Raw genomic sequence first — 24,506 nt, 5'->3', positions numbered from 1 at the left:
AAAATACAAAACTTAGCCGGACGTGGTGGTGAGTCACTGTAATCCCAGCTACCTGGGAGGCTGAGGCAGGGAGAATTGCCTGAACCCGGGAGGCGGAGGTTGCAGTGAGCCAAGACTGCACCACTGCACTCCAGCCTGGGTGACAGAGTGAGACAGCCTCAAAAAAAAAAAAAAAAAAAAAAAGGTTTTGGACCTGGTGTGGTGGCTCATGCCTGTAATCCTATAATCCCAGCACTCTGGGAGGCCGAGGCGGGCGGATCACGAAGTCAGGAGATCGAGACCATCCTGGCTAACACGGTGAAACCCTGTCTCTAGTAAAAATACAAAACATTAGCTGGGCGTAGTGGCAGGCGCCTGTAGTCCCAGCTGCTCGGGAGGCTGAGGCAGGAGAGTGGCGTGAACCTGGGAGGTGGAGCTTGCAGTGAGCCGAAACTGCGCCACTGCACTCCAGCCTGGGTGACAGAGCGAGACTCTGTCTCAAAAAAAGAAAAACAAAACAAAACAAAACAAAGTACGGTGGTGGGTTGGTTTGAAGAATCTAAGAGGGCTATTTCTGGCATTTCCACTATTCCACCATGATTTCCTTGAGAGACTTGCTCTGTCGCCCAGGCCGGAGTGCAGTGGCGCGATCTTGGCTCACCGCAAGAGCTCTGCCTCCTGGGTTTCACCCCATTCTACTGCCTCAGCCTTCCGAGTAGCTGGGACTACAGGCACCCGCCACCATGCCCGGCTAATTTTTTGTATTTTTAGTAGAGACGGGGTTTCACCGTGTTAGCCAGGATGGTCTCGATCTCCTGACCTCGTGATCCGCCCGCCTAGGCTTCCCAAAGTGCTGGGATTACAGGCCTGAGCCACCGCGCCCGGCCTATTCCACCATGATCTCTACCCCTCCTCCCGAATGTTAGTGGTGTAACTATGACAACAAGCACGCGCTGCTCAAGGCTCAATTTTCCAGCCGTTACCGACCTCCACCGCGTCACTGTACGCTGCCCAGAAACTCTGAGGCGGATCCCCCAACCCAGTGTCAGACTGATCGCCTTTGGCCCGAGGGCGAGGAGCCACAGGACAGTATGGCCAAAGCGGCGGCCTCCTCGTCGCTGGAGGACTTGGACCTGAGCGGAGAGGAGGTCCAGCGGCTCACCTCCGCCTTCCAGGACCCGGAGTTCCGGCGAATGTTCTCCCAGTACGCCGAGGAGCTCACCGACCCGGAGAACCGGCGGCGCTACGAGGCGGAGATCACCGCGCTAGAGCGTGAGCGCGGGGTGGAAGTGCGGTTCGTGCACCCGGAGCCCGGCCATGTGCTGCGCACCAGCCTGGACGGGGCGCGGCGCTGCTTTGTGAATGTCTGCAGCAACGCGTTGGTGGGCGCGCCCAGCAGCCGGCCCGGCTCCGGTGGCGACCGGGGCGCAGCTCCTGGCAGCCACTGGTCCCTGCCCTACAGCCTGGCGCCCGGCCGCGAGTACGCGGGGCGCAGCAGCAGCCGCTACATGGTCTACGACGTGGTCTTCCATCCAGACGCGCTTGCGCTGGCCCGGCGGCACGAGGGCTTCCGCCAGATGCTGGACGCCACGGCCCTGGAGGCCGTCGAGAAGCAGTTCGGCGTGAAGCTGGACCGCAGGAATGCCAAGACCCTGAAGGCCAAGTATAAGGGGACCCCAGAGGCTGCGGTGCTGCGCACGCCCCTGCCCGGGGTCATCCCCGCAAGGCCTGACGGGGAGCCGAAGGGTCCTCTCCCGGACTTCCCCTACCCTTACCAGTACCCGGCAGCCCCCGGGCCCCGGGCGCCCTCCCCTCCGGAAGCGGCCTTGCAGCCCGCCCCCACCGAGCCTCGCTACAGCGTGGTGCAGCGCCACCACGTGGACCTCCAGGATTACCGCTGCTCCAGGGACTCAGCCCCGAGCCCCGTGCCCCATGAGCTGGTGATCACCATCGAACTGCCGCTGTTGCGCTCGGCCGAGCAGGCGGCGCTGGAGGTAACGAGAAAGCTGCTGTGCCTCGACTCGAGGAAACCTGACTACCGGCTGCGGCTCTCGCTCCCGTACCCAGTGGACGATGGCCGCGGCAAGGCACAATTCAACAAGGCCCGGCGGCAGCTGGTGGTTACGCTGCCAGTGGTGCTGCCGGCCGCGCGCCGGGAGCCCGCTGTCGCCGTCGCCGCCGCCGCGCCGGAAGAGTCCGCGGACCGGTCCGGAACTGACGGCCAGGCCTGCGCTTCCGCTCGCGAGGGGGAGGCGGGACCCGCGAGGAGTCGCGCGGAGGACGGAGGCCACGATACCTGCGTGGCTGGGGCTGCGGGCTCCGGGGTCACCACCCTGGGCGACCCGGAGGTGGCGCCTCCGCCGGCCGCAGCTGGAGAGGAGCGTGTCCCCAAGCCGGGGGAGCAGGACTTGAGCAGGCACGCGGGGTCACCGCCGGGCAGCGTGGAGGAGCCATCTCCTGGAGGAGAAAACTCACCTGGTGGCGGAGGCTCCCCTTGTTTGTCCTCCCGGAGCCTGGCGTGGGGTTCTTCTGCGGGAAGAGAGAGTGCGCGCGGAGATAGCAGTGTGGAAACACGCGAGGAGTCGGAGGGCACGGGCGGCCAGCGCTCAGCCTGCGCCATGGGTGGTCCCGGGACCAAGAGCGGGGAGCCTTTGTGTCCTCCGTTACTGTGTAATCAGGACAAAGAAACCTTGACTCTGCTCATTCAGGTGCCTCGGATCCAGCCGCAAAGTCTTCAAGGAGATTTGAATCCCCTCTGGTACAAATTACGCTTCTCCGCACAAGACTTAGTTTATTCCTTCTTTTTGCAATTTGCTCCAGAGAATAAATTGAGTACCACAGAACCTGTGATTAGCATTTCTTCAAACAATGCAGTGATAGAACTGGCAAAATCTCCAGAGAGCCATGGACATTGGAGAGAGTGGTATTATGGTGTAAACAACGATTCTTTGGAGGTAACAGTTCTTTCCAGAGTCCTCATATTTGAAATATCCCATCTCACTTTAAAAATTTGCTATTACCGGCCGGGCGCGGTGGCTCACGCCTGTAATCCCAGCATTTTGGGAGGCCGAGGCGGGCGGATCACGAGGTCAGGAGTTCTAGACCAGCCTGGCCAATACGGTGAAATCCCGTCTCTACTAAAAATGCAAAAATTAGCCGGGCATGGTAGCGGGCGCCTGTAGTCCTAGCTGCTCGGGAGGCTGAGGCAGGAGAATCGCTTGAACCCGGGAGGCGAAGCTTGCAGTGAGCCAAGATCGCGCCACTGCACTCTAGCCTGGGCGACAGAGGGAGACTCCGTCTCAAAAACAAAAAACAAAAAAAAAAACAACTTAAAATTTGAAGTTCTGAAGACTCTTTAAACTCATAAATGGACAATTGGTGGTTTTTGTTAATGTTACATGTAATTTTTTTAGCTCTTTTAACATAAACAAGAGTTAAGTGTTGAGAAACAACACTAGCTGCACGGATTATATATTAAAAATTAAGTATTAGTTGGCTGGGTGCGGTGGCTCACGCTTGTAATCCCAGCACTTTGGGGGGGCCAAGGCGGGTGGATCTTCTGAGGTCAGGACTTTGAGACCAGCCTGACCAACATGGCGAAACCCCGTCACTATTAAAAATACAAAAATTAGCTGGGCGTGGTGGCGGGCACCCGTAATCCCAGCTACTTGGGAGGCTGAGGCAGGAGAATCACTTGAACGCAGGAGGTGGAGGTTGCAGTGAGCCGATATCATGCTACTGCACTCCAGCCTGGGCAACAAGAGCGAAACTCTGTATCAAAAAAAAAAAAAAAGAAAAATTAAGTATTAGACTTTGGGCTTTAACTTACGAGAAAATTTTACTTTTCCCTCGTTTTTCTAGAAATTTGCTAGGAAGTTACATGTGTAATTTTTGAGTTGGGTATCTCTATGAGAAGTGGCTAATTGGAAACCTTCCAAAAGTGGTAAAATAAATAGCTGGGCTAGCTAAGGTAGTTTGTTAGAATATAAAATATGAAACTGAGTATCTGTTTTTGTCATCAGAAGTGGGACATTTAGGAAAGGGCAGTTGTTTTCCTGTAACAGTTTTAGTAAATATGAAAATAACCCACAATGTGGGAAGAAAACTTTGTAGACAAGCAATTAAGAAAATATTCAATAATACATTTTAATCCGATTTTCAAGTATGCTAACATTTTAGAAAATAAACGACGAAAATGGGATTAGGGCAACTGTATTTTATATCTTTGAAGCCTGAAATAGATTTGTAATTACTTCACTAATCATCACATTTTTCTAAAGCTGATGGAACAACAGCATGTAACTCTTTTGCTTTACTTTGTACTGGACCAGGCTCTCAGTGTTAAATTTTTGGAAAAAAATCATGAGTAGTGGAACATATATAATGATAATATTATATGCATTACATGAAAATAATCATAAAGAGACTGTTATGTGGCTTTCAAGGTCAGAACTTTACAAATAAATACTAAATATATGTATTGAAGTTTTCAGTGTTTACTGACAATTTTCCTAAATCTTCAGAGCCTCTGAGGTCAGTAACTTTTTCAGTTCATTAGTCATTTAATCAGTCATTAGACTGAGAAGGCAAGTTTATGCAAATCTTCTGGTTGTTTTTTGAGATGGAGTCTTGCACCGTCGCCCAGACTGGAGTGCAGTGGGGCGGCTCACTCACTGCAAGCTCCACCTCCCGGGTTCACGCCATTCTCCTGCCTCAGCCTCCCGAGTAGCTGGGCCTACAGGCACCTGCCACCACGCCAGGCTAATTTTTTGTATTTTTAATAGAGATGGGGTTTCACCGTGTTAGCCAGGATGGTCTTGATCTCCTGACCTCGTGATCCACCCGCCTCGGCCTCCCAAAGTGCTGGGATTACAGGCATGAGCCACCGCGCCCGGCTGCAAATCTTCTGTATTTTAATCATAACCATGTCCACTATATATTCCTTCGGATAACTAAAAATTAAAATATTTGGTGTATTATTTGCAAGGAGTCAAAGATGATGTCTTTTCCCAGAGGCATGAACCTTAGAAATGCTTTCGATGGGGATGTTTCTGTAACACTGTGTTATTCTGGATCTTCAAATAATAGCAAAGCCAGTTACTCTAAATGTAAAATTTTTCTATTCCCAAGGTTCACTTTTGTTTGGTAGGTTTTCACGATTTTAAATACTGTTTAATGGAAGAAAAATACGTAGCCAGGCGTGGTGGCTCACACCTGTAGCCCCGGAACTTTGGGAGACTGAAGCAGGCAGATCACGAGGTCAGGAGATTGAGACCATCCTGGCCAACAAGGTGAAACCCTGTCTCTACTAAAAATACAAAAATTAGCTGGGCGTGGTGGTGCACGCCTGCAGTCCCAGCTACTTGGGAGGCTGAGGCAGGAGAATTGCTTGAACCCGGGAGGTGGAGGTTGCAGTGAGCTGAGATCACGCAGTTGTACTCCAGCCTGGTGACAGAGTGAGACTCTTTCTCAAAAAAAAAAAAAGTGTGTGTGTGTGTGTAGAGAGTTTGTGTGTGTGTGTGTGTGTGTAGAGAGTTTATGTGTGTGTGTGTGTGTGTGTGTGTGTGTGTGGAGAGAGAGTTTATTTGGGCCAAAATAGAGGACTGCAACCTGGGAAACACATATTCAAGTTGCCCTGAATATATGTTCCCAAGTTCAAGAAACTTGAAACTTGTTTCTTTCTGATATTTTCCACCTATTTGGACCAAATAATGAGCTGTGTTTATTTTGTAATTACAAAATTTGCTTATATAAAACTACAGAGGAAAACATTTTTATTTGGGGCAACAATGAACTGCTTTTATAAATTAATTTAAAATATGGTTAATATGGTTATTCTCCCCACACCCTAACTATACACCTGTATTCACTTGACATGAACAAACTGCTTTGTGTTTGGGATTCAGGTAAAAGGTGATTTTTGCATTTTCTAGTAATAGTTTAGAAATCTTTTCATGTCAGCATCTTGAAATCTACCTCATTATTTATTTATTTATTTATTTATTTGGGAGACAGAGTCTCGCTCTGTCTCACCCAGGCTGGAGTGCAGTGGTGCGATCATGGCTCACTGCAGCCTCAACCTCCCAGACTCAAGCGATCATCCCACCTTAGCCTCTGGAGTAGCTAGGACCACAGGTGCATGCTACCACTCCCGGCTAATTTTTGTATTTTTTGTAGAGATGAGTTTTGCCATGTTGCCTAGGCTGGTCTCGAACTTCTGGGCTCAAACAATCCACCTGCCTTGGCCTCCTAAAGTGCTGGAATTATAAGCATGAGCCACTGTGCCCAGCCTAATTTTTTTCATAATTTACTTTTTCTCTGGAGCATAGATTCAAAATGCCCTGAATATATGCTCTCTACTTCATTCTTTTAATAACTATACAGTTTGCTAATGTTACGCTGGAGTATCCCAGTGCTTAAAAATATAATACACTTGGCTGGGTGCAGTGGCTCACGCCCGTAATCCCAGCACTTTGGTAGGCCAAGGTAGGAGGACAGCTTGAATCCAGGAGTTGGAGACCAGCCTGGACAACAAAGTGAGACCTGTATCTACAAAAAATGTCAAATTTTTTTTTTTGAGACAGAGTCTCACTCTGTCGCCCAGGCTGGACTCACTGCAATCTCCGCCTCACGGGTTCACGTGATTGCAGTTTTAGTAGAGACAGGGTTTCACTATGTTGGCCAGGCTGGTCTCGAATTCCTGACCTGAAGTGATCCACCCACCTTGGCCTCCCAAAGTGCTGGAATTACAGGCGTTAGCTGCCACACCAGGCCCCAAAAATGTAAAAATTAGCTGGGCATTATGGCATGCACCTGTAGTCCCAGGTACCCAGGCACTTGGGGGCACAGGTGGAGGATTGCTTGAGCCAGGGAGGTCAAGGCTGCAGGGGGCTATGAGTGTGCGACTGCATTCCAGCCTGGGCAACAAAGTGAGACCCTGTCTCAAGGCAAAAAAAAGAAAAAAAGGGGGGCGGGGGCTGGGTGTGGTGGTGGCTCACGCCTGTAATCCCAGCACTTTGGGAGGCCAAAGCAGGTGGATCACTTGAGTGCAGAAGTTTGAGGCCAGCCTGTGCAACAGGGCAAAACCCTGTCTCTACAAAAAAATGCAAAACTTAGCCGAGAGTGGTGGCATGTTCTGTGGTCCCAGCTACTGTAGAGGCTGAGGCGGGAGGATCACTTGAGCCTGGGAGGTCAAGGCTGCAGCGAGCCGTGATTATGCCACTGCACTCCAGCCTGGGAGACAGAGCAAGACTCTGTCTCAAAAACAAAATCAAACAAAAAAACACACCACTTATTTGAAATAAAATACTGTAATTGGCTCTTACCTGCCCAAGAACTAAAAGGTCACACAAAATTTGAATAGATCTTTTCATGTATATTTCTTAGCCACCTCATTAGGAAATGTTTTAAAGCTGAATTATATTTTGTATCTGGGATCCCATTTATAGCCCTAGAGATGATGTTATTCTTCTGAAATACTAAAAGAGGCCAGCTGTGGTTGCTCACACCTGTAATCCCAGCCCTTTGGGAGGCCAGGGCAGGTGGATAGCTTGAGGTCAGGAGTTCAAGACCAGTCTGGCCAACATGGTAAAACCCCATCTCTACCAAAAATACAAAAATTAGTCCGGCATGGTGGCAGTCGCCTGTAATCCCAGCTACTCGGTAGTCTGGGGCAGGAGAATTGCTTGAACCTGGGAGGCGGAGGTTGCAGTGAGCCGAGATTGCACCACTGCACTCCAGCCTGGGCAACAGAGTGAGACTATGTCTCAAAAAAACAAAACAAAAGAAACAAAAAAAGAAAGAAAAATACTAAAAGGTCAGGTTTAATAGACAGAAAAAGTACCAAGACCTCTTTCTTTTAGGTTCTTTTTCTATACGTTTATGTTTGTTCTCAGTACAACTCTTATTGCTCTGTACAATACCAAACTTAAATTTTTCTAAGACAGCTCATAGGAATAACATTAAAATAAACATTTTAAAAAGTGTAACCCTGAACAATGTGAGAATTTTTGTGAGCTGCTTTGAGATACAACTGTTGTCAAGTGGGACTTATTAGGCAGAATATTTTTTCCCTTTTTATTTTAGGAAAGGTTATTTGTCAATGAAGAAAATGTTAATGAGTTTCTTGAAGAGGTCCTGAGCTCTCCATTCAAACAGTCTATGTCCTTGACCCCACCATTAATTGAAGTTCTTCAAGTTACTGATAATAAGATTCAAATTAATGCAAAGGTAAGGAAGTTGATGGGCTCTATAGAGGAGTAATGAAGCACAGAGTTAAAACCTAACAAATTATTGATTTCTTAATATCATAACTTTAAACAAAATTTACATAATGGTTGGGCAGAGTGATGTTAAGAGAAGAAAAGTTTTTCTTTTTTTTTTTTTTGAGATGGAGTCTCCCTCTGTCACCCAGGCTGAAGTGCAGTAGCGCGATCTCATCTCACTGCAACCTCCGCCTCCTGGGTTCAAGCGATTCTCCTGCCTCAGCCTCCCAAGTAGCTGGGACTACAGGAGCATGCTACCATGCCTGGCTAATTTTTTGTATTTTTAGTAGAGATTGGGTGTCACCGTGTTAGCCAGGATGGTCTCGATCTCCTGACCTCATGATCCACCCGCCTCGGCCTCCCAAAGTGCTAGGATTACAGGCATGAGCCACCGCGCCCAGCCAAGAAAAGCCTTTTGTCTGTGTATGTATTATGTGCTAAACACTTTGCTATTCATTTTCACATTATTTAATCCCAAAATAACCCTACAATGAGGAACAAAGAGAAACTAACACTTAGGAAGTTTGAGTACTAGTCCAGGGACATACAATCTTTTTTGACTCTCAAACCATGAGAACTATGTTATACAATTTGTACGTTCTTTCTAATTCAATCTTAATTTTGGTCATTTTTATAGTCTTCAGTATTGAAGATGCAAATGATTTAGTAACTACCACAATCGACAGACATATGTATTAGAAGGGCGGCTCTGAAAAATTAGAGGAATTCAAGAAAATTTAAGAAATTCAACAATGTGCTTATAACTGTTAAATAGTTTTGTAGACCATGTTGAAAAGTATGGATTATTGTTGTGAAAGGATATAATCAGGATATTAGTGCCAGGTTTACATTGTTAAAAAATGACTGGCAGTAGGCTGGGTGCAGTGGCTCACACCTGTAATCCCAGCACTTTGGGAGACCGAGGCAGGCGGATCACCCGAGGTCAGGAGTTCGAGACTAGCCTGGCCAACAGTGAAACCCCGTCTGTACTAAAAATATAAAAATTAGCCGGGCGTCATGGCAGGCACCTGTAATCTCAGCTACTTGGGAGGCTGAAGCAGGAGAATCGCTTGAATCTGGGAGGCAAAGATTGCAGTAAGCCAAGATTGCGCCACTGCACTCCAGCCTGGGCGACAGAGCCAGACTCAATCTCAAAAAAAAAAAAAAAAAAAAAAAAGACTGGCAGCAGACTAGTCGTGATGGCTCATACCTGTAATCCCAGCACTTTGTGGATCATTTGAGGTCAGGAGTTCGACACCAGACTGGGCAACATGGTGAAACCCTGTGTCTACTAAAAATACAAAAATTAGCCGGGCGTGGTGGTGCATGCCTGTAATCCCCTCTACTTGGGAGGCTGAGGCAGAATTGTTTGAACCTGGAGGCAGAGGTTGTAGTCAGCTGAGATTGTGCCAGCCTGGGCGACAGAGCAAGACTCCGTCTCAAAACAAAAAAAGTCATCCTTCAAATGCTGCCTGTCTTTTTCTTTTTTTGACAGGGTCTTACCCTGTCACCCAGGCTGGAGTACAGTGGCACTATCTCGGCCCAGTGCAACCTCCACCTCCCGGGTTCAAGTGATTCTTCTGCCTCAGCCTCTCAAGTAGAGGGGATTATCAGGTGTGCTCCACCACACCCGGCTAATTTTTGTGTTTTTAGTAGAGATGGGGTTTCGCCATGTTGGCCAAGCTGGTCTCGAACTCCTGACCTCAAGTGATCTGCCTGCCTTGGCATCCCAAAGTGCTGGGATTACAGGCATGAGCCACTGTGCCCAGCCTGGAGGATGAATTTTGACAGGAAAGCCTGGATGTATACCTGCAGGTCTGTAAGGGCTATTACCTCACAACTGTTAAAAATTTTATTTCCAGAGGGTAGTACAATTTAATTTTGTATTATTTAAAATAATTATTAATTTGTTGTTTCTCTTGACACAGTTGCAAGAATGTAGTAACTCTGATCAGCTACAAGGAAAGGAGGAAAGAGTAAATGAAGAAAGTCATCTAACTGAAAAGGAATATATAGAACATTGTAACACCCCTACAACTGATTCTGATTCATCTATAGCAGTTAAAGCACTACAAATAGATAGCTTTGGTTTAGTTACATGCTTTCAACAAGAGTCTCTTGATGTTTCTCAAATGATACTTGGAAAATCTCAGCAACCTGAGTCAAAAATGCAATCTGAATTTATAAAAGAAAAAAGTGCTACTTGTTCAAATGAGGAAAAAGATAACTTAAACGAGTCAGTAATAACTGAAGAGAAAGAAACAGATGGAGATCACCTATCTTCATTACTGAACAAAACTACGGTTCACAATATACCTGGATTCGACAGCATAAAAGAAACCAATATGCAGGATGGTAGTGTGCAGGTCATTAAAGATCATGTGACCAATTGTGCATTCAGTTTTCAGAATTCTTTGCTATATGATTTGGATTAATTCTATATAATTTTGGACTTTTAAATATTAAGGTTAAAAAATACCTGTATCTAAAATTGATTCTGTTAACTGTTGTCTTAAAACTAAAGGTATTAAAGTATAAAATTAAAATTTGCAATTTTTTTTAAAAAATTGCAATTTTGATTCTCATGGGGGAAATTGGAGATAATTTTTTTTTTTTTGCCTCTGGAGTTTAAAGTTTCCTTATGGAGATAAGTTTTGTGATTCCTGTAATAGATGTGTATGTTTTCTATTTGAGAGTTAAAACATTTGAGAGTTAAAACATTTAGTTTTAATACAACCTATGTATATATACTTCTGTGTTAAATTTTGCTTTGTCATTAATAAAATTTAAAAATATTCACTAATTGTGTTTGTCACACAAAGTAATTCTCAAGAATGCATTTAACTGGAATTATAAGTACATGTGTGGGGGGTAGAATTTCAAAACTGTTTCTCAGTCTCACTAAGTAGGACATATTTAAGCTTGAAATAGAGCTTAGAGGGGAAAGAACTTTACTAACCAATATTAATCTAAACAATTACGATACAAATTCACCAGATAAAATGTAGTACTTTTCATCAGCTCTATATTTTGTCACACAAACTATATATATTTTTGTTACATAAAGTATATATAATAGATTTAGTTATTTAGTAATGATTTTCAAAATTCAATTTTGAAGTATTTCTTAGAAGTTATTGAAATATTAAAACATCTTGTGGTTTTATAGAAATTTAAGAGTAAAACTGGAATTTTTAAAATCTGGCAATTTGCTCTGATAGGAAAATTGCCTTCATTACATTATTACACAGAAAAACAAAAAAAAGCCAGTGTTTCCTAATCACTTTCTTTTTTTTTAAGAGATGGGTCTTGCTATGTTGTCCAGACTGGATTCAAACTCTTAGGCTCAAGTGATCCTCTCATCTCAGCCTCCTGCATAATCAATTTCCTTTATAACACCTAAAATGTGAGGCAAAGAGAAGATCCTAACAGGTTTTTTTCTTACAAAAAATTTTAGGGCAGCCAAAGAAAATGAAAGGAAGGAAATACAGAAAGGGAAATATTTGTTGATTTAATCACTAACCCCAAAGCCAGGAGCTGATCTATTTGTTTCAAAAACAGCTACTACTTCACACTCTGGCCTTCTTAGCTCAGTCCTGGAAATAACCTAATTTTTTAGTTCTTTGAACTAGTGATGTCAGGTCAGAGTACCAGAAATAGGTACAAAGCCTCCTGATTCACCCTTATTTATAACCCCCAGGCAAAATCTTGCACCAGACTGGGCCGTGGGTAAGTCTAAAGGTAGCTCGTAAAGCAAGAGAACTATTTGCCTCACCTTAGATAAGCATATGTGCTCTTAAACTACTATGAATCTTAAATTGATGCAATAATTTTGAGACTGCCATTTAATAGTTACAAGTTTAAGTAACTTTTTTTTTTTTTCTTTAGATGGAGCCTTGCTCTGTTGCTCAGGCTGGCGTGCAGTGGCACGCTCTAGGCTCACTGCAACCTCTGCCTCGAGACTCAAAGGATCCTCCCACCTCAGCCTCTCAAGTAGCTGGGACTACAGATGCACCACTACACCCGGCTAATTTTTTGTATTTTTAGTAGAGATGGGTTTTCGCCATGTTGCCCAGGCTGGTCTCAAACTCTTGAGTTCAAGCAATCTGCCTGCCTCAACCTCCCAGAGTGCTGGGATTACAGACATGAGCCACCACACCCAGCCCGTAATATCTTTACACAGAAATTAGTCTTTTATGAGAAATTCTCGGTTGAATGCAATTACAAATTAAGGGAAACTTCTATAAACGTCTACATTAAATATGGAGCAAAATTTAAGCCTGTTTCCTATAATTTTCTGTATCTGTCCTTTTAAAACGTATGATTTAAGTTAAAGCTGGCACTAGAAAGTATTTCACTTTGGCATGACTGAACTTTGTATCATTTCTGGCTTTCAAAAACAATTTAGGCTGTATTTCCCTTACACAGCAACTTTTTATCATTCATTTTCAATGCCTGGGTAATTTGAAAGCCAAACAGTTTCTTGCACAGGGAATGCATTGTCATAAGCTGGGTTTTATTTCAAACTCAATTATACAATGTAGCAATAGTAAATATTAAAATGTAATGCTAACTCAAAACTTGTAGAATGCCTTCACTGAATTTTGGTATAAAGAGTAAACAAAACTTATTCTGCAAAAGGATTAGGAACCTTTTTATGCAAAAATGAGTATTTTATTTTGTCAGCACTAAAAGAAAAAAAAAAACAAAACCACTGTATTTCTACATTGAGGTGAAAACAATGTTTAAACTTTCTTATCAATCAAATACATTCCAAAAGAAAGTGTGTTCTATGAAGGTTCCAAAACACACTCAAAACACAATAGTACAGGAATCTAATACTGAAAATGACTGTTCTGACAGGGTGTTTAACAAACATAACTTTTAAATTATTAAACCAGTGAAGCAATCCCTTCCTAATAAGTGTGTCAAGAGAGTGAAACTGGGTTTGTTCCATTAATACCCTAACAATTTCATCGTAATACTTTTTACTGCTATGACAGTTTTAAATAAATTTTGCTGTACTTAAAATAGGTTTTGAAAGTGGAAAAGTGTACAAAGTTTCAGATAAAAAGATTAATAAATGCAATTTAAATAAAATTTCCCCTCTTCTCTCATATCAACAATAATCAATTTTAGCAGATAACAGATTGAGCTTTAAAACCCTACTCCCAAAATGAAACCTTCAGTTTTAAATCTTAATCAGACATAACTGGAAAAGATTACTATGTATTTGGACACCTTTTACAAGATTTTGTTTTTGTATTAAAGCAGAAACCAGTTCCTAAACTCTTTTATTCAATTGTATGTCCTGTTTGGACAAATATCAAAAATAGAAGACTGTCGCTTTTGTAACTGTGATTTTCACTGCAGTCTTCTATAACTTTTACAGAGTTCATGGTCCCTAATATCTCCCCACCCTCCATTTTTTCTAGGTGGGGAAATGGCTACCACAGTAAACTTTTCACTGATAGTTAGAGTTTCTGGAAACATGTATTGTTTGTTATTATTTAAGAGTGACTCAATTTGGGCACTCTGAGTGGATGGTCTACAGGTTTTCTTGTGATGCATACCACAGTCTCCAGCATGAAAGATCCTAGGAATTTGAGGAACCAGCACTTTCCAGAATTTTGGAAGACAAGATACAGTCAAGTATTGAAGAGTCCAGTCCCAGTTATAATCATCATAAGTACAGAAAGTGTCTGTGCACTCGATCAGCTTCTGATAGGCATTCCGGGTCAAGGCTAGACCCATATTGTGCTCTGTGGATTTCCAAGTTTTCACATCTACCTTGTCAGCCATGCCATAGAAACTGCGACTGGCACTATAGGTCCCCAGGGAGAGAACATCACATTCAGGGCACTCTTGCTGCTTCAGTTTCCACATCTTTTTGAAGACATGGTAAAAGTCTGGGGCTAAGTAGTGATCCTCTTCTAGGAAAAGTATAAGGCCAGCATAATCTCGAAGAATTTTCACTCTTTCCCACACAAAATGCAGCTTCCACCACCAGTGATGTTTGGTCTGGGAGAATTTGGCCTCTCTATAATGGCCGAAGGAGTCGGGATACTCAGCATTGATGCACCCCAATTTCAAAGCGGCATTCTTCGGCAGGTCTCTGGGACAATCTCTAGGGTCACTACCTGGAAACTCGTTAGGGTACAACTGAATGCTGAAAGGAAAGAACACCTGCAGAACCGGACAGAAATTCACCCCGGCGATCAGCTGATTGATCTCGGTCGACCAGAAGTCATGGCTAAAGATGACGAGGACGTTGTCAATTCCCTGGGCTTTTCGAAGTGAGTCCAGCAGCAGTCTGAGGTATTCGGGCCGGTTATGCACCTGGACCACCAGCACCAGCTCCCGGGGGGCCCAGGTGCCAGCCTTATCTACATTCCTCAGGGTCTGATCAAAGTTCAGCTGGTACACCAGGGACCGGTACCGCAGCGTCAGGTTGTCCGCCTCGGGCTGGGGGACCGCCGGGACCAGGGAAGCCGCCGACACGTTGGAGACCCTGCGGATGCCCACAGCCACAGAGGGGTGGTCCCCACCGCGGCCGCCGGCACCCCGCGCGGGTTCGGCGTCCAGCAACGGTGGGGCGAGGGCCTCGTTCTTCCTTTGTCGCCCATTGCTGCTCCAGAGGACGAAGCCGCAGGCGGCCACCACGAGCGTCAGGATTAGCACCTTCCGTTTGTAGATGCGGAACCTCATGGTCTCCAGGGCCGGGAGCGCAGGCGGGCGGGCGCGGAAAGGAGCAGCTGCTTCTGCACGGAAGGGGCGGGCGGGCGGCGGCCGTCGCCTTGGCCTGTCACGGTCGGAACTGGCCCCCGCGGCTGCCCTCGCTAACTCATCCCGGGCCCCGGGGGTCCTGGGGCCCGAGACCTCTCATTTACCCCGCGCCGCCTGCGCTCCACACATCCTCGCCTGGCAGCTACAGCTCGAGCATCGGCGCCGCCGCTAGGAGCCGCGGCTCGGCTTCGTCTCCGTCCTCTCCATTCAGCACCACGGGTCCCGGAAAAAGCTCAGCCGCGGTCCCAACCGCACCCTAGCTTCGTTACCTGCGCCTCCAGCGGCCCTGCGTCCTCTGCGCTCTCATCCTTACAGGGGCCCTAGACGGCCAGAACTGAGCGACGCGGCCTCGCCTCACTCCGGCGGGGACCGTTATGACAACCCGCAACTGCCCCGCGGCACACCGCGGCCCTCCGGCCCACACCCCTCCGGCCCGCCCCTTAGACCGTTGGTTGGTGCTTTCCAGACGCGACCGAAGGCGCCTGACCGCCGTGGCCGGCTGCCTATTGGTTTGCAGTACTGTCGCTCAGGTGCAGTTCCCACTTCCGCCTGTTTCTTCCCTTTCCTGTTAGGCGAGAGCTGCGAAAGGCGAGAGCTGCGAAGGGCCAGGTGTCGGGCGCTGTTTCTCGGTAAGCTAAGAACGAGGCTGTAGCGGCTCCAATAGGAGCCTCCCTTGCTCAGAATCCTGGGTAGGACTAGGCCTTCTTAGGAAAGGGAAGGCGAGACCTATGGCCCTCGCCGGCCTTAGTTCGAGAGCAGGCTTCTCCCTTCAGGAAAAAGGTCTCAGGCATGGCGGCTATAGAATCGCGGGGCGCGCCGGCTTGATAAGGACACGTCAGCCCTCGAGGCTGCTGACGGGTGACTGTGCTTCGGAGGGGAAAAGTGATACTACGCTGATGTGGTTCTCGTAGAAGGAACGGGGCGGGTCGTAACCGTAGCTACAACGTCGCGCGCTGCCCCAGCCATTCTCTAGAGCTGGAAAATGGAGGAGGTGGGTGGGGGGAAGGGGGTCAAAGAAACTCTGGTCCTTAACTTCCTTTTCGGAAGAAAATTAGATGAACCGCACTTTTCTTTTGGAGCAGTCACAATAAATTAAACTCATTTCGTACGGAAAACGGACTGTATTGGGCCTCCTAAAGCTGCTGCTGTCGGTTTTCGTGAGTCTTGTTCTATATGAGAAAAGAAGAATGGCTCGGAGCATTGTTAATTATTTGAGATGTGCAAAATTTGCCGGGCCCAGAGAGACAGCAGTATGGGACTTCAGACACCTCCCCACTTAATGCCTGGCATTTTATTCCTGACTAGCTGCTTCACCCATTATGTCCGCGTTCCTGGAATTTGTCATGAAAAGAATGATGTATAGCCAATCAATCGCTTGTGTTATTTTAATGTAAATTCTTGGTAGACAATTTAGGAACTGCCATTTTTTCCTCTAAAAACCCACTTGCAACTGCTGCTACTCAGGGCATTTTGAATCTGTGCTCTGGGTTGCAATCCTCAAACTTGCCCCAAATAAACATTCTACTTATATGAATTGTGCCTCAGTTCTTTTTTTTTTTTGAGACGTAATTCCGCTGTTGTTGCCCAGGCTGGAGTGCAATGGTGCGATCTCGGCTCACGGCAACCTCCGCCCCTCCCCACCCCGCCCAAGCGATTCTCCTTACAGGTATGCACCACCACCACGCCAGGCTAATTTTGTATTTTTAGTAGAGACGGGGTTTCTCCATGTTGGTCAGGCTGGTCTCGAACTCCGGACCTCAGGTGATCCGCCCTTCTCGGCCTCCCAAAGTGCTGGGATTACAAGCATGAGCCACCGTGCTCGGCCTTGCCTCAGTTCTTTAGGTCGACAAATTAGTCCTCCAGTAATTTAAACGAAGTGTTTCAAAAAGGTATGTACTTGTATGTGCGTTTATTCATATGGAAAAAGAGTACGTGGTGGATTTATATATTACTCATTTATGTGTACGGTTTTCCTGTATATACTTGTATAGCACTTTCACTTTTCGGAATGTTTAACGTCTGCTATCTTATTTTAAATATTTTACTACAGTTTTCATCATATAGACAAAACAGCCCTGCTGCAAAGATGGTCAACGTACCTAAAACCCGAAGAACCTTCTGTAAGAAGTGTGGCAAGCATCAGCCTCACAAAGTGACACAGTATAAGAAGGGCAAGGATTCTTTGTATGCCCAGGGAAGGAGGCGCTATGATCGGAAGCAGAGTGGCTATGGTGGGCAGACAAAGCCAATTTTCCGGAAGAAGGCTAAGACCACAAAGAAGATTGTGCTAAGGCTGGAATGTGTTGAGCCTAACTGCAGATCCAAGAGGATGCTGGCCATTAAGAGATGCAAGCATTTTGAACTGGGAGGAGATAAGAAGAGAAAGGGCCAAGTGATCCAGTTCTAAACTTTGGGATATTTTTCTTCAATTTTGAAGAGAAAATGGTGAAGCCATAGAAAAGTTACCCGAGGGAAAATAAATACAGTGATATTCTTACGCAAACTTTTTGTGGTTTTTACTTATAAATAGAATTCCATGTTTAGTGTAGTCCCACCTCAAACTTTACTAACAAGTTTATATATGTATGAAGGGAAAATACTACTTTACTACTTTTTGTTTTCTGGTCAATTTCAAATGTTGAATGAATTCATAAACATTGAGCAGCTTAGAAGGATCTTTAAGATTTTGCAAGAGAAGGAACAAGATAACGCTAGGCTTGTGTATAGCAGGCTGGGTTGGGCAAAGGATGGAAGTTGGGGGATAGTAAGAGCTGACCAAATATTCTGTCTAGTAGGGGCCGCTAGCCAGGTAATGTGTTTCCTGTTACACTAGTCAGATTTAGTACTCAACAGCCACGTGTGGCTAGTTTATTGGACAACACAGATGTAAAACATTTCCACCGCAGAAAGTTCTTTTGGACAGTACTGTTAGAGACTGTGGCCTTGAATATAAAAGGATAGTTCAAAATTGACTTCACACTAAAGTTCTCAATCTAGTGAAAGTCCAAGATAGCATAAACTGTTTTTTGAACCTCTTAGAACACTCTGGGAGGTACTCAAAAAAAAATTTTTTTTTGAGACAATCTGTCACTGTAACCCGCACTGGAGTGCAGTGGCACATTCATGGCTTACTGTGGCCTCTCAGGCTCTGTAGCTCTGTAGGTCCTGCCTTAGCCTTGGAGTAGTTGGGTACCACCATGCCTGGCGAATTTGCCTGGCTAATTTTATTTCTTTTTTTTTTTTTTTAAAGATGGGGTCTCACTCCTGGGCTCAAGCAATTCTTGAGCCTAGGCTGGTCTCAACTCCTGGGCTCAAGCAATTCTCCCATCTCAGCCTCCCAAAGGGTTGGGATTACAGTGTGCTACTGTGCTTGGCCAGAACTTGACAGTTAGGAAGGTTTAGGAGTTATGACTGAAAACAAGAAGGTTGAAATTCACAATGAAAAAAGTTGAGCCTTGTAATTATGAAAGGCAAGAAAAGTTCAGTATCAAGTGAAAAACTGGGAAAAGGTAGGGGTTATAAGAGGTCAAATTCTGCCTTTTGTATATGAATTTAAGTTGACTAAGATACATGGGAATGACAGTAGTTAGAGGAATGCAAAGGGCTAGGGTGTGTAGGAGTAACAGATGGTTTGCACATAATCCCAATAACTGACTATTATAGCTGCATTTGATTGTAAAAAAAAATGTAAAAATCATGTATACGAGTTTATTTTTAAATACATCACCATCACTTTTTCCTTTTTTTGGAGACGGGTCTCGCTCTGTTGCCCAGGCTGGAGTGCAGTGGCATACTCACAGCTCACTGCAGCTTTGGCCTCCTAGGCTCAAGCTATCCTCTCACCTCAGCCTTCCTAGTAGCTGTAGCTAGGACTACAGGCATGCAGCACTATGCTTGGCTAATTTTTGTATTTTTTATAGAGACGGAGTTTTGCCTTGTTCCTCAGGCTGGTCTCAAATTCCTGGGCTCAAAGGTTATCTACCCATTTCAGCCTAAAGTGTTGGGATTACAGGCATGAGCCACCTCACCTGGCCTACCATCACTTTTTAAAGAATGTTTTAATTCAGCTATTTTGTAATATTTATGGACAATCCCTCACCAACCTACAAGTTTAGAAAATCCTAAAATACTTAGGGAATTCTTGGTTTTAAAGACCAAAAGTAAATTAACTAGAATACAGTAGCCTGGGCTTAAAATCTGATTTGGGTTCATGGTACTTCTCTCGTAGGGTGATTTTTAAAGATTAAATGCTGCTTATAAAACACCTGGAACGGCTGAGTGCAGTGGGTCATGCCTGTAATCCCAGCAGTTTGTGAGGCCGAGGTGGGCGGATCACTTGAGGTCAGGAGTTCAAAATCAGCCTGACCAACATGGTGAAACACTGTCTCTACTATACAAAAATTAGATGGCCAGGCGTGGTGGCTCATTGCCTGTAATCTCAGCACTTTGGAAGGCCGAGGAGGGCGGATCATGAGGTCAGGAGTTTTGAGACCGGCCTGGTCAACATAGTGAAACCCTGTCTCTACTAAAAATACAAAAATTAGCCGGGTGTGGTGACACATGCCTATAATCCCAGCTACTCGGGAGGCTGACGCAGGAGAATCACTTGAATTTGGGAGGCAGAGCGGAGGTTGCAGTGAGCCAAGACCACGCCATTGCACACCAGCCTGGGTGACAGAGCAAGACTCCATCTCAAAAAACAAAAAAAACTGCATCTACTCAGGAGTATCTGAACTTTCAAAAAAGAAAAAAAAAATGCCCCAAATAAACATTTTAGGAAGACAAACGCGGTAAGGTAATTATTTTGTAAGAAATAATCTTACAGAGACCCTGCTAACAAGCCCAAAACAGCAATTACATTAACACTGGAGAGGGCTTTTCTCCAGTAACTTTTATTCTTTCCTTTGTTCACAAAAACGAGGCTGGGATTATTGCAATGTTCTGGTGGAGAGGCTGACTTGAGGTAGGTCGGTGGGAATGAACAGAATGAAAAAGTTAATACTGGTTCTATTTTCCATGAGTCTTTCAAGTTGGTTATTTTTCCATTCCTTATGCCCTAGTTCACGTCATCTTTTTTTGAGACGGTCTCCATCTGTCACCCAGGATTGAGTGCAGTGGCATGATCTTGGCTCACTGTAATCTCCCATGCTCAAGTAATCCTCCCACTTCAGCCTCCAGAGTAGCCAGGACTACAGGCGTACACCACAATGCTCAGTTAAGTTTTGCATTTTTTGTAGAGATAGGATTTTGTCTTCGTGCCCAGGCTGGTCTTGAATTCCTGGGCTTGAGCAATATGCCCGCCTCGACCTCCTGAAGTGCTGGGATTACAGGCATGAGCCACTGCACTGGGCCCAAATCACCATTTAGCTGGTGTATTGCCACTACTTTTAAAATCAAAAACATTAAACATTTTGTCATTTAATATGACAAAATAATAAACATTTTTGTCATATTATGTGACAAAAATAATTTAAAAACCCACCCTAATAATACAAAATGTAATCAGCAAAAAGTAGCAATTTTTGGCCGGGCATGGTGGCTCACTCCTGTAATCCCAGCACTTTGGGAGGCCAAGGTGGGCGTATAATGAAGTCAGGAGTTCGAGACCAGCCTGGCCATCATAGTGAAACCCTGTCTCTACTAAAAATACATAAAAATTAGCCGGGTGTGGTGGCACACACCTATAGTCCCAGCTACTTGGGAGGCTGAGGCAGGAGAATCGCTTGAACCTGGGAGGTGGAGGTTGCAGTGAGCCAAGACCATGCCGTTGCACTCCAGTCTGGGTGACAGAGTAAGACTCTGTCTAAAAAAAAAAAAAAAAAAAGTAGCAATTTTCTGTTCCCTTTCCCATCCCACCCAATCCCAAGGCACGGTGACTCAAGCCTGTAATCCCAGCACTCTGGGATGCCCAGATGGGTAGATCATTTGAGGTCAGGAGTTCAAGACCAGCCTGGCCAACATGGTGAAACACCGTGAAAAATACAAAAAGTTAGCTGAAAAATACAAAAAATACAAAAAATTAGCTGGGTATGGTGGCGTGCGCCTGCAACCCCAGCTACTCAGGAGGCTGAGGTGGAGGTTGCAGTGAGCCGAGATTGCGCCACTACACTCCAGCCTGGGAGACAGAGACTCCATCTTAGAAAAACAAAAACAAAAAAAGAAACCACAACAACTACTATGGGAACATTTTTAAAAATTATAAAAGCTAAAGTCTTTCCTGAAACAATTCCTACTTTTTGCTTGGTAAATGTAAATTCCACATGTAGAATAATGTATCTGAAAAACACAAAAAGTGGTATGCTTAAAAACTTACATATAATTTCATAATAAACAAGTTTTCACTATAATTTAGGACATATTAGTCCTCCAAGAGATATTTTCTGCATACAGAAACTCAGATGTGTTTAACTGGGATCAATATCTGTTTAACATTAAAAGATATCTCCACAACCCATGTTGGAAACTTTAGGGTGAAATAAACACAAGTGTAATAAATTAAAAAAAAGTTAACACCACAGTAAAACTAAAATTGGTTTTAATAAAAGTTTTGGAGTCATCTAAATGAGTAACTATACACATTCCTCCTCTCCAGCAAGTATACAGAAATCTTCCCTTACTCCAATTTGACGCTGCAAAATCATACATGCACCCCAAACTGATCTGTTATTGAAATTTCTTTTTCTGGTCTCACCCATTACTTTAACATATCAGAGGAATTAACATAACAGCCTAGAGAACAGAAATAAGAGATAATAGGTGCTTCAGTACCACCCAAATTATCTACTAAGACCACAGTGTGGGCAACAGAATGCAGATTCATGGTAGTAGTTCCTTGAATGAAAGAGTTCAGACAGAATCTTCCACAAACACAAATTTTTGCGGTATCCAAATCTTGGCAGAGATGGAATGGAATGATATGAGAGCCATATGGAATCCTATTGGAAAGAATGATAAAAATATTTTATAACATGTTACTAGATTCAGGACATGAATTATTAGGACATGGAATTTTAACAATGAAAAGTAAAATTATTAAGCGATTAGTATATTTAAAATATACTAAAAAACAATATATGACATATTGTAAACTTCAGATACCACACCATAAAATATCTTCCAGCACAACCACTTAATAGCATAACTCCCTAAATGGAATGAAAAAGTCACCTGTCCTTTAAATAGGCTCTTCCAGGGATCAATTGTTCAAAAGGGAAACTTAAACTCTCTAAGACAAATTTAAAATACATGTCACTTGGGACATGAGTTTTACTTTAGTGGCTGGGCAAGTAAGGCTAACCTTACCTTGCTTAAGGCATTTCACTCTCACACTTAAAACCCTTCAGTGGTGCCCAAGTCAAACTTTTGATTTTTACTTTTTGAGACAGAGTCTCGCTTTGACACCCAGGCTAGAGTGCAGTGGTGCGCGCTCTCACTGCAATCTCTGCCTCCTGGGTTCAAGCAATTCTTCTGCCTCAGCCTCCCAAGTAGCTGGGATTACAGGCGCCTACCACCACGCCCAGATAATTTTTTTTTGCATTGTATTTTTAGTAGAGACGAGGTTTCACCATGTTGGCCAGGCTGGTCTCGAACTCCTGACGTCATGTGATCTGCCTGCCTCAGCCTCCAAAAGTGCTAGGATTAAAGGTGTGAGCCACCGCACCTGGCCTAAACTTTTTTTTTTTTTTTGAGATGGAGTCTCACTCTGTTGCCCAGACTGGAGTGCAGTGGTGCAATCTCAGCTCATTGCAACCTCCACCTCCAGGGTTCAAGCTATTCTCCTGCCTCAGCCTCCCGAGTAGCTGGGATTACAGGCACACGCCAACATTCCCGGCTAATTTTTTTTTTTTTTTTTGAGATGGAGTCTCGCTCTGTCTCCCAGGCTGGAGCGCAGTGGCACAATCTCGGCTCACTGCAAGCTCCGCCTCCCGGGTTCATGCCATTCTCCTGCCTCAGCCTCCCGAGTAGCTGGGACTATAGGTGCCCGCCACCACGCCTGGCTAATTTTTTGTATTTTTAGTAGAGGCAGGGTTTCACCATGTTAGCCAGGATGGTCTCGATCTCCTGACCTTGTGATCTGTCCGCCTTGGCCTCCCAAAGTGCTGGGATTACAGGCTTGAGCCACCACGCCTGGCCTGGCTAATTTTCGCATTTTTAGTAGAGACGGGGGTTAACCATGTTGGCCAGGCTGGTCTTGAACTCCTGACCTCAAGTGATCCGCCCACCTCGGCCTCCCAAAGTGCTGAGATTACAGGCAAGAGCCACTGCGCTGGGCCTTGAGGTCAAGTTTTTAAATCATCTACAAGACACTAAAACACAGTCTTGAGATTGCCTGCCCACTGCCCAAACCTCCCCGCTAAACACAACCATGCTCCAGCCACTTTGCCTCCCACACGGTGTCTTGTTCTTTGTTGTTTCTCTAGTCTCTAGCTTAGGCTGGCACATAATAGGTGCTCAGATATTTTTCAACAAATAAACAAGCCTAGTCTTACAACTTAAAATGAGAGTTTAAAACCCTGTCAGAAAAGTCTGAAAAGATACACATTTCAAATAAAAAAACAGCGGTTACCTTTGGTACGGGATCTAGGATGGCCCTATTTGCAATTTTTAAATTTTTCATAAAAAGACTTATTAATCTGTTGCTTAAGTAACCATTTTTTAAAAAACTCTGCCAGGGAGTGTCTCCCACATGTTTACATTAATCTCTTTCGGATAGATGGTTCTAGATTGAGGAAACAGACAACAGTTAAAAACTGTATTTTCTATCTGACATAACTTAAATTCCCACATATTTTCCTAATAGATCATAACTGTATGCTTGTAACCAGTAGTTAGAGCCATTTATCAACAGCTAGATAATAGGTTTTGGTGTCACAGCTTTAAATCTATATACTTTTTAAAACAAGGGAGCTTAAAACACGCAACATTATACTTCAACAAAGGTTCAGTCATCTTACAAGAAAGCTATATTAATAGTGGTAAGATTTAAAAAGCAACATAAATGCTATAACGCGAAATCATTCAGCACTAATAAATTACTATTCTGCCAAATTGTGCCTTGCCAATTATATCACATTTTGATCATCTATTTTTTTCCTTCCAACTTTGTACTTTTTCATGTTGGACTTCAGCATGTTTTCACCTGATCATTTAGCCAAACTTGTTATAATCTTTTCAAATCAAAACTATAACATTTCTCATTTGGACATAATTTTCAAATTTGAATAAATACAATGTACAATTTCTTTCTTTTCTTTTTTTTTTTTTTTTGAGACGCAGTCTCACTCTGCAGCCCAGGCTGTAGTGTGGTGCTACAATCTCAGCTCACTACAACCTCAACCTCCCGGGTTCAAGCAATATATCCTGCCTCAGCCTCCCCAGTAGCTGAGACTACAGGTGCCCGCCACGACACCCTGTTAATTTTTGTATTTTTAGTGGAGACAGGGTTTCACCATATTAGCCCTGCTGGTCTCAAACTCC

The 24,506-nt window shown here is 44.7% G+C and overlaps 4 protein-coding genes across 9 annotated transcripts in view, besides 15 other annotated features; 2 read left to right on the top strand and 2 right to left on the bottom strand.

Annotated features, from left to right (window-relative positions):
• Positions 976 to 11,046, top strand: DNAAF2 (dynein axonemal assembly factor 2). Of its 3 annotated transcripts, NM_018139.3 has the most exons (3): positions 976 to 2,933; positions 8,065 to 8,208; positions 10,172 to 11,046. In NM_018139.3, exons 1-3 carry the CDS (start codon positions 1,071 to 1,073, stop codon positions 10,676 to 10,678), a joined length of 2,514 nt encoding a protein of 837 aa, NP_060609.2. In that variant the 5' UTR covers positions 976 to 1,070; the 3' UTR covers positions 10,679 to 11,046. The 3 variants fall into 3 exon arrangements, with proteins under 3 accessions (NP_060609.2, NP_001077377.1, NP_001365382.1); NM_001083908.2 differs by lacking the exon at positions 8,065 to 8,208; NM_001378453.1 differs by lacking the exon at positions 8,065 to 8,208 and having other exon boundaries at positions 2,234 to 2,737.
• Positions 1,332 to 2,092: an enhancer, noted in NCBI's record as "NANOG-H3K27ac-H3K4me1 hESC enhancer chr14:50100846-50101606 (GRCh37/hg19 assembly coordinates)". NCBI's record gives its function as "activates a minimal SCP1, AML or CMV promoter by ChIP-STARR-seq in naive H9 embryonic stem cells {active_cell/tissue: H9 hESC(naive)}" and the evidence as "EXISTENCE:reporter gene assay evidence [ECO:0000049][PMID:30033119]".
• Positions 1,332 to 2,144: a biological region, named in NCBI's record as "NANOG-H3K27ac-H3K4me1 hESC enhancer GRCh37_chr14:50100846-50101606".
• Positions 1,355 to 1,404: a silencer, noted in NCBI's record as "silent region_5701". NCBI's record gives its function as "represses an Ori minimal core promoter by ATAC-STARR-seq in GM12878 lymphoblastoid cells {active_cell/tissue: GM12878}" and the evidence as "EXISTENCE:reporter gene assay evidence [ECO:0000049][PMID:35858748]".
• Positions 1,635 to 1,874: a silencer, noted in NCBI's record as "silent region_5700". NCBI's record gives its function as "represses an Ori minimal core promoter by ATAC-STARR-seq in GM12878 lymphoblastoid cells {active_cell/tissue: GM12878}" and the evidence as "EXISTENCE:reporter gene assay evidence [ECO:0000049][PMID:35858748]".
• Positions 1,905 to 2,144: an enhancer, noted in NCBI's record as "active region_8321". NCBI's record gives its function as "activates an Ori minimal core promoter by ATAC-STARR-seq in GM12878 lymphoblastoid cells {active_cell/tissue: GM12878}" and the evidence as "EXISTENCE:reporter gene assay evidence [ECO:0000049][PMID:35858748]".
• Positions 2,145 to 2,414: a silencer, noted in NCBI's record as "silent region_5699". NCBI's record gives its function as "represses an Ori minimal core promoter by ATAC-STARR-seq in GM12878 lymphoblastoid cells {active_cell/tissue: GM12878}" and the evidence as "EXISTENCE:reporter gene assay evidence [ECO:0000049][PMID:35858748]".
• Positions 2,695 to 2,754: an enhancer, noted in NCBI's record as "active region_8320". NCBI's record gives its function as "activates an Ori minimal core promoter by ATAC-STARR-seq in GM12878 lymphoblastoid cells {active_cell/tissue: GM12878}" and the evidence as "EXISTENCE:reporter gene assay evidence [ECO:0000049][PMID:35858748]".
• Positions 2,825 to 3,034: an enhancer, noted in NCBI's record as "active region_8319". NCBI's record gives its function as "activates an Ori minimal core promoter by ATAC-STARR-seq in GM12878 lymphoblastoid cells {active_cell/tissue: GM12878}" and the evidence as "EXISTENCE:reporter gene assay evidence [ECO:0000049][PMID:35858748]".
• Positions 2,825 to 3,613: a biological region, named in NCBI's record as "NANOG-H3K27ac-H3K4me1 hESC enhancer GRCh37_chr14:50099325-50100085".
• Positions 2,853 to 3,613: an enhancer, noted in NCBI's record as "NANOG-H3K27ac-H3K4me1 hESC enhancer chr14:50099325-50100085 (GRCh37/hg19 assembly coordinates)". NCBI's record gives its function as "activates a minimal SCP1, AML or CMV promoter by ChIP-STARR-seq in primed H9 embryonic stem cells {active_cell/tissue: H9 hESC(primed)}" and the evidence as "EXISTENCE:reporter gene assay evidence [ECO:0000049][PMID:30033119]".
• Positions 4,463 to 4,572: an enhancer, noted in NCBI's record as "active region_8318". NCBI's record gives its function as "activates an Ori minimal core promoter by ATAC-STARR-seq in GM12878 lymphoblastoid cells {active_cell/tissue: GM12878}" and the evidence as "EXISTENCE:reporter gene assay evidence [ECO:0000049][PMID:35858748]".
• On the bottom strand, positions 12,739 to 15,421 carry MGAT2 (alpha-1,6-mannosyl-glycoprotein 2-beta-N-acetylglucosaminyltransferase). Its single transcript, NM_002408.4, has one exon. The coding sequence runs from the start codon at positions 14,949 to 14,951 to the stop codon at positions 13,608 to 13,610; it is 1,344 nt and encodes a 447-aa protein (NP_002399.1). The 5' UTR covers positions 14,952 to 15,421; the 3' UTR covers positions 12,739 to 13,607.
• Positions 14,771 to 15,321: an enhancer, noted in NCBI's record as "H3K27ac-H3K4me1 hESC enhancer chr14:50087617-50088167 (GRCh37/hg19 assembly coordinates)". NCBI's record gives its function as "activates a minimal SCP1, AML or CMV promoter by ChIP-STARR-seq in naive H9 embryonic stem cells {active_cell/tissue: H9 hESC(naive)}" and the evidence as "EXISTENCE:reporter gene assay evidence [ECO:0000049][PMID:30033119]".
• Positions 14,930 to 15,039: a silencer, noted in NCBI's record as "silent region_5698". NCBI's record gives its function as "represses an Ori minimal core promoter by ATAC-STARR-seq in GM12878 lymphoblastoid cells {active_cell/tissue: GM12878}" and the evidence as "EXISTENCE:reporter gene assay evidence [ECO:0000049][PMID:35858748]".
• Positions 15,340 to 15,549: a silencer, noted in NCBI's record as "silent region_5697". NCBI's record gives its function as "represses an Ori minimal core promoter by ATAC-STARR-seq in GM12878 lymphoblastoid cells {active_cell/tissue: GM12878}" and the evidence as "EXISTENCE:reporter gene assay evidence [ECO:0000049][PMID:35858748]".
• RPL36AL (ribosomal protein L36a like) lies at positions 15,594 to 17,690 on the top strand. Its single transcript, NM_001001.5, has 2 exons — positions 15,594 to 15,658; positions 17,080 to 17,690. The coding sequence occupies exon 2, from the start codon at positions 17,116 to 17,118 to the stop codon at positions 17,434 to 17,436; it is 321 nt and encodes a 106-aa protein (NP_000992.1). The 5' UTR covers positions 15,594 to 15,658; positions 17,080 to 17,115; the 3' UTR covers positions 17,437 to 17,690.
• Positions 15,710 to 15,819: an enhancer, noted in NCBI's record as "active region_8317". NCBI's record gives its function as "activates an Ori minimal core promoter by ATAC-STARR-seq in GM12878 lymphoblastoid cells {active_cell/tissue: GM12878}" and the evidence as "EXISTENCE:reporter gene assay evidence [ECO:0000049][PMID:35858748]".
• LRR1 (leucine rich repeat protein 1) overlaps positions 21,548 to 24,506 on the bottom strand; it is a 15,733-nt gene continuing 12,774 nt past the window's right edge. For 3 of the 4 annotated variants that reach the window (NR_037793.2, NM_152329.4, NM_203467.2), the window contains one exon: positions 21,548 to 21,964. Coding sequence is in view for 2 of the 4 variants with exons in the window: in NM_152329.4 (NP_689542.2) it covers positions 21,724 to 21,964 (241 nt within the window). In the remaining 2 variants the exon portion in view is untranslated. Of the gene's footprint in view, positions 21,965 to 23,595; positions 23,749 to 24,506 lie in introns of all 4 variants that reach the window. The other variant, NR_037792.2, reaches the window with a different exon arrangement.

This window comes from Homo sapiens, chromosome 14, assembly GCF_000001405.40.
Source record: "Homo sapiens chromosome 14, GRCh38.p14 Primary Assembly".
NCBI lineage: Eukaryota > Metazoa > Chordata > Mammalia > Primates > Hominidae > Homo > Homo sapiens.
This window is presented reverse-complemented; position numbering and strand designations above follow the sequence as displayed.

Coding starts and splice junctions, on each gene's coding strand:
- DNAAF2 (NM_018139.3), top strand. CDS start 1,071: ATGGCCAAAGCGGCGGCCTCCTCGTCGCTGGAGGACTTGGACCTGAGC. Junction 2,934..8,064: donor TAAACAACGATTCTTTGGAG/GTAACAGTTCTT, acceptor TTTTTATTTTAG/GAAAGGTTATTTGTCAATGA. Junction 8,209..10,171: donor AGATTCAAATTAATGCAAAG/GTAAGGAAGTTG, acceptor CTCTTGACACAG/TTGCAAGAATGTAGTAACTC.
- RPL36AL (NM_001001.5), top strand. CDS start 17,116: ATGGTCAACGTACCTAAAACCCGAAGAACCTTCTGTAAGAAGTGTGGC.
- MGAT2 (NM_002408.4), bottom strand. CDS start 14,951: ATGAGGTTCCGCATCTACAAACGGAAGGTGCTAATCCTGACGCTCGTG.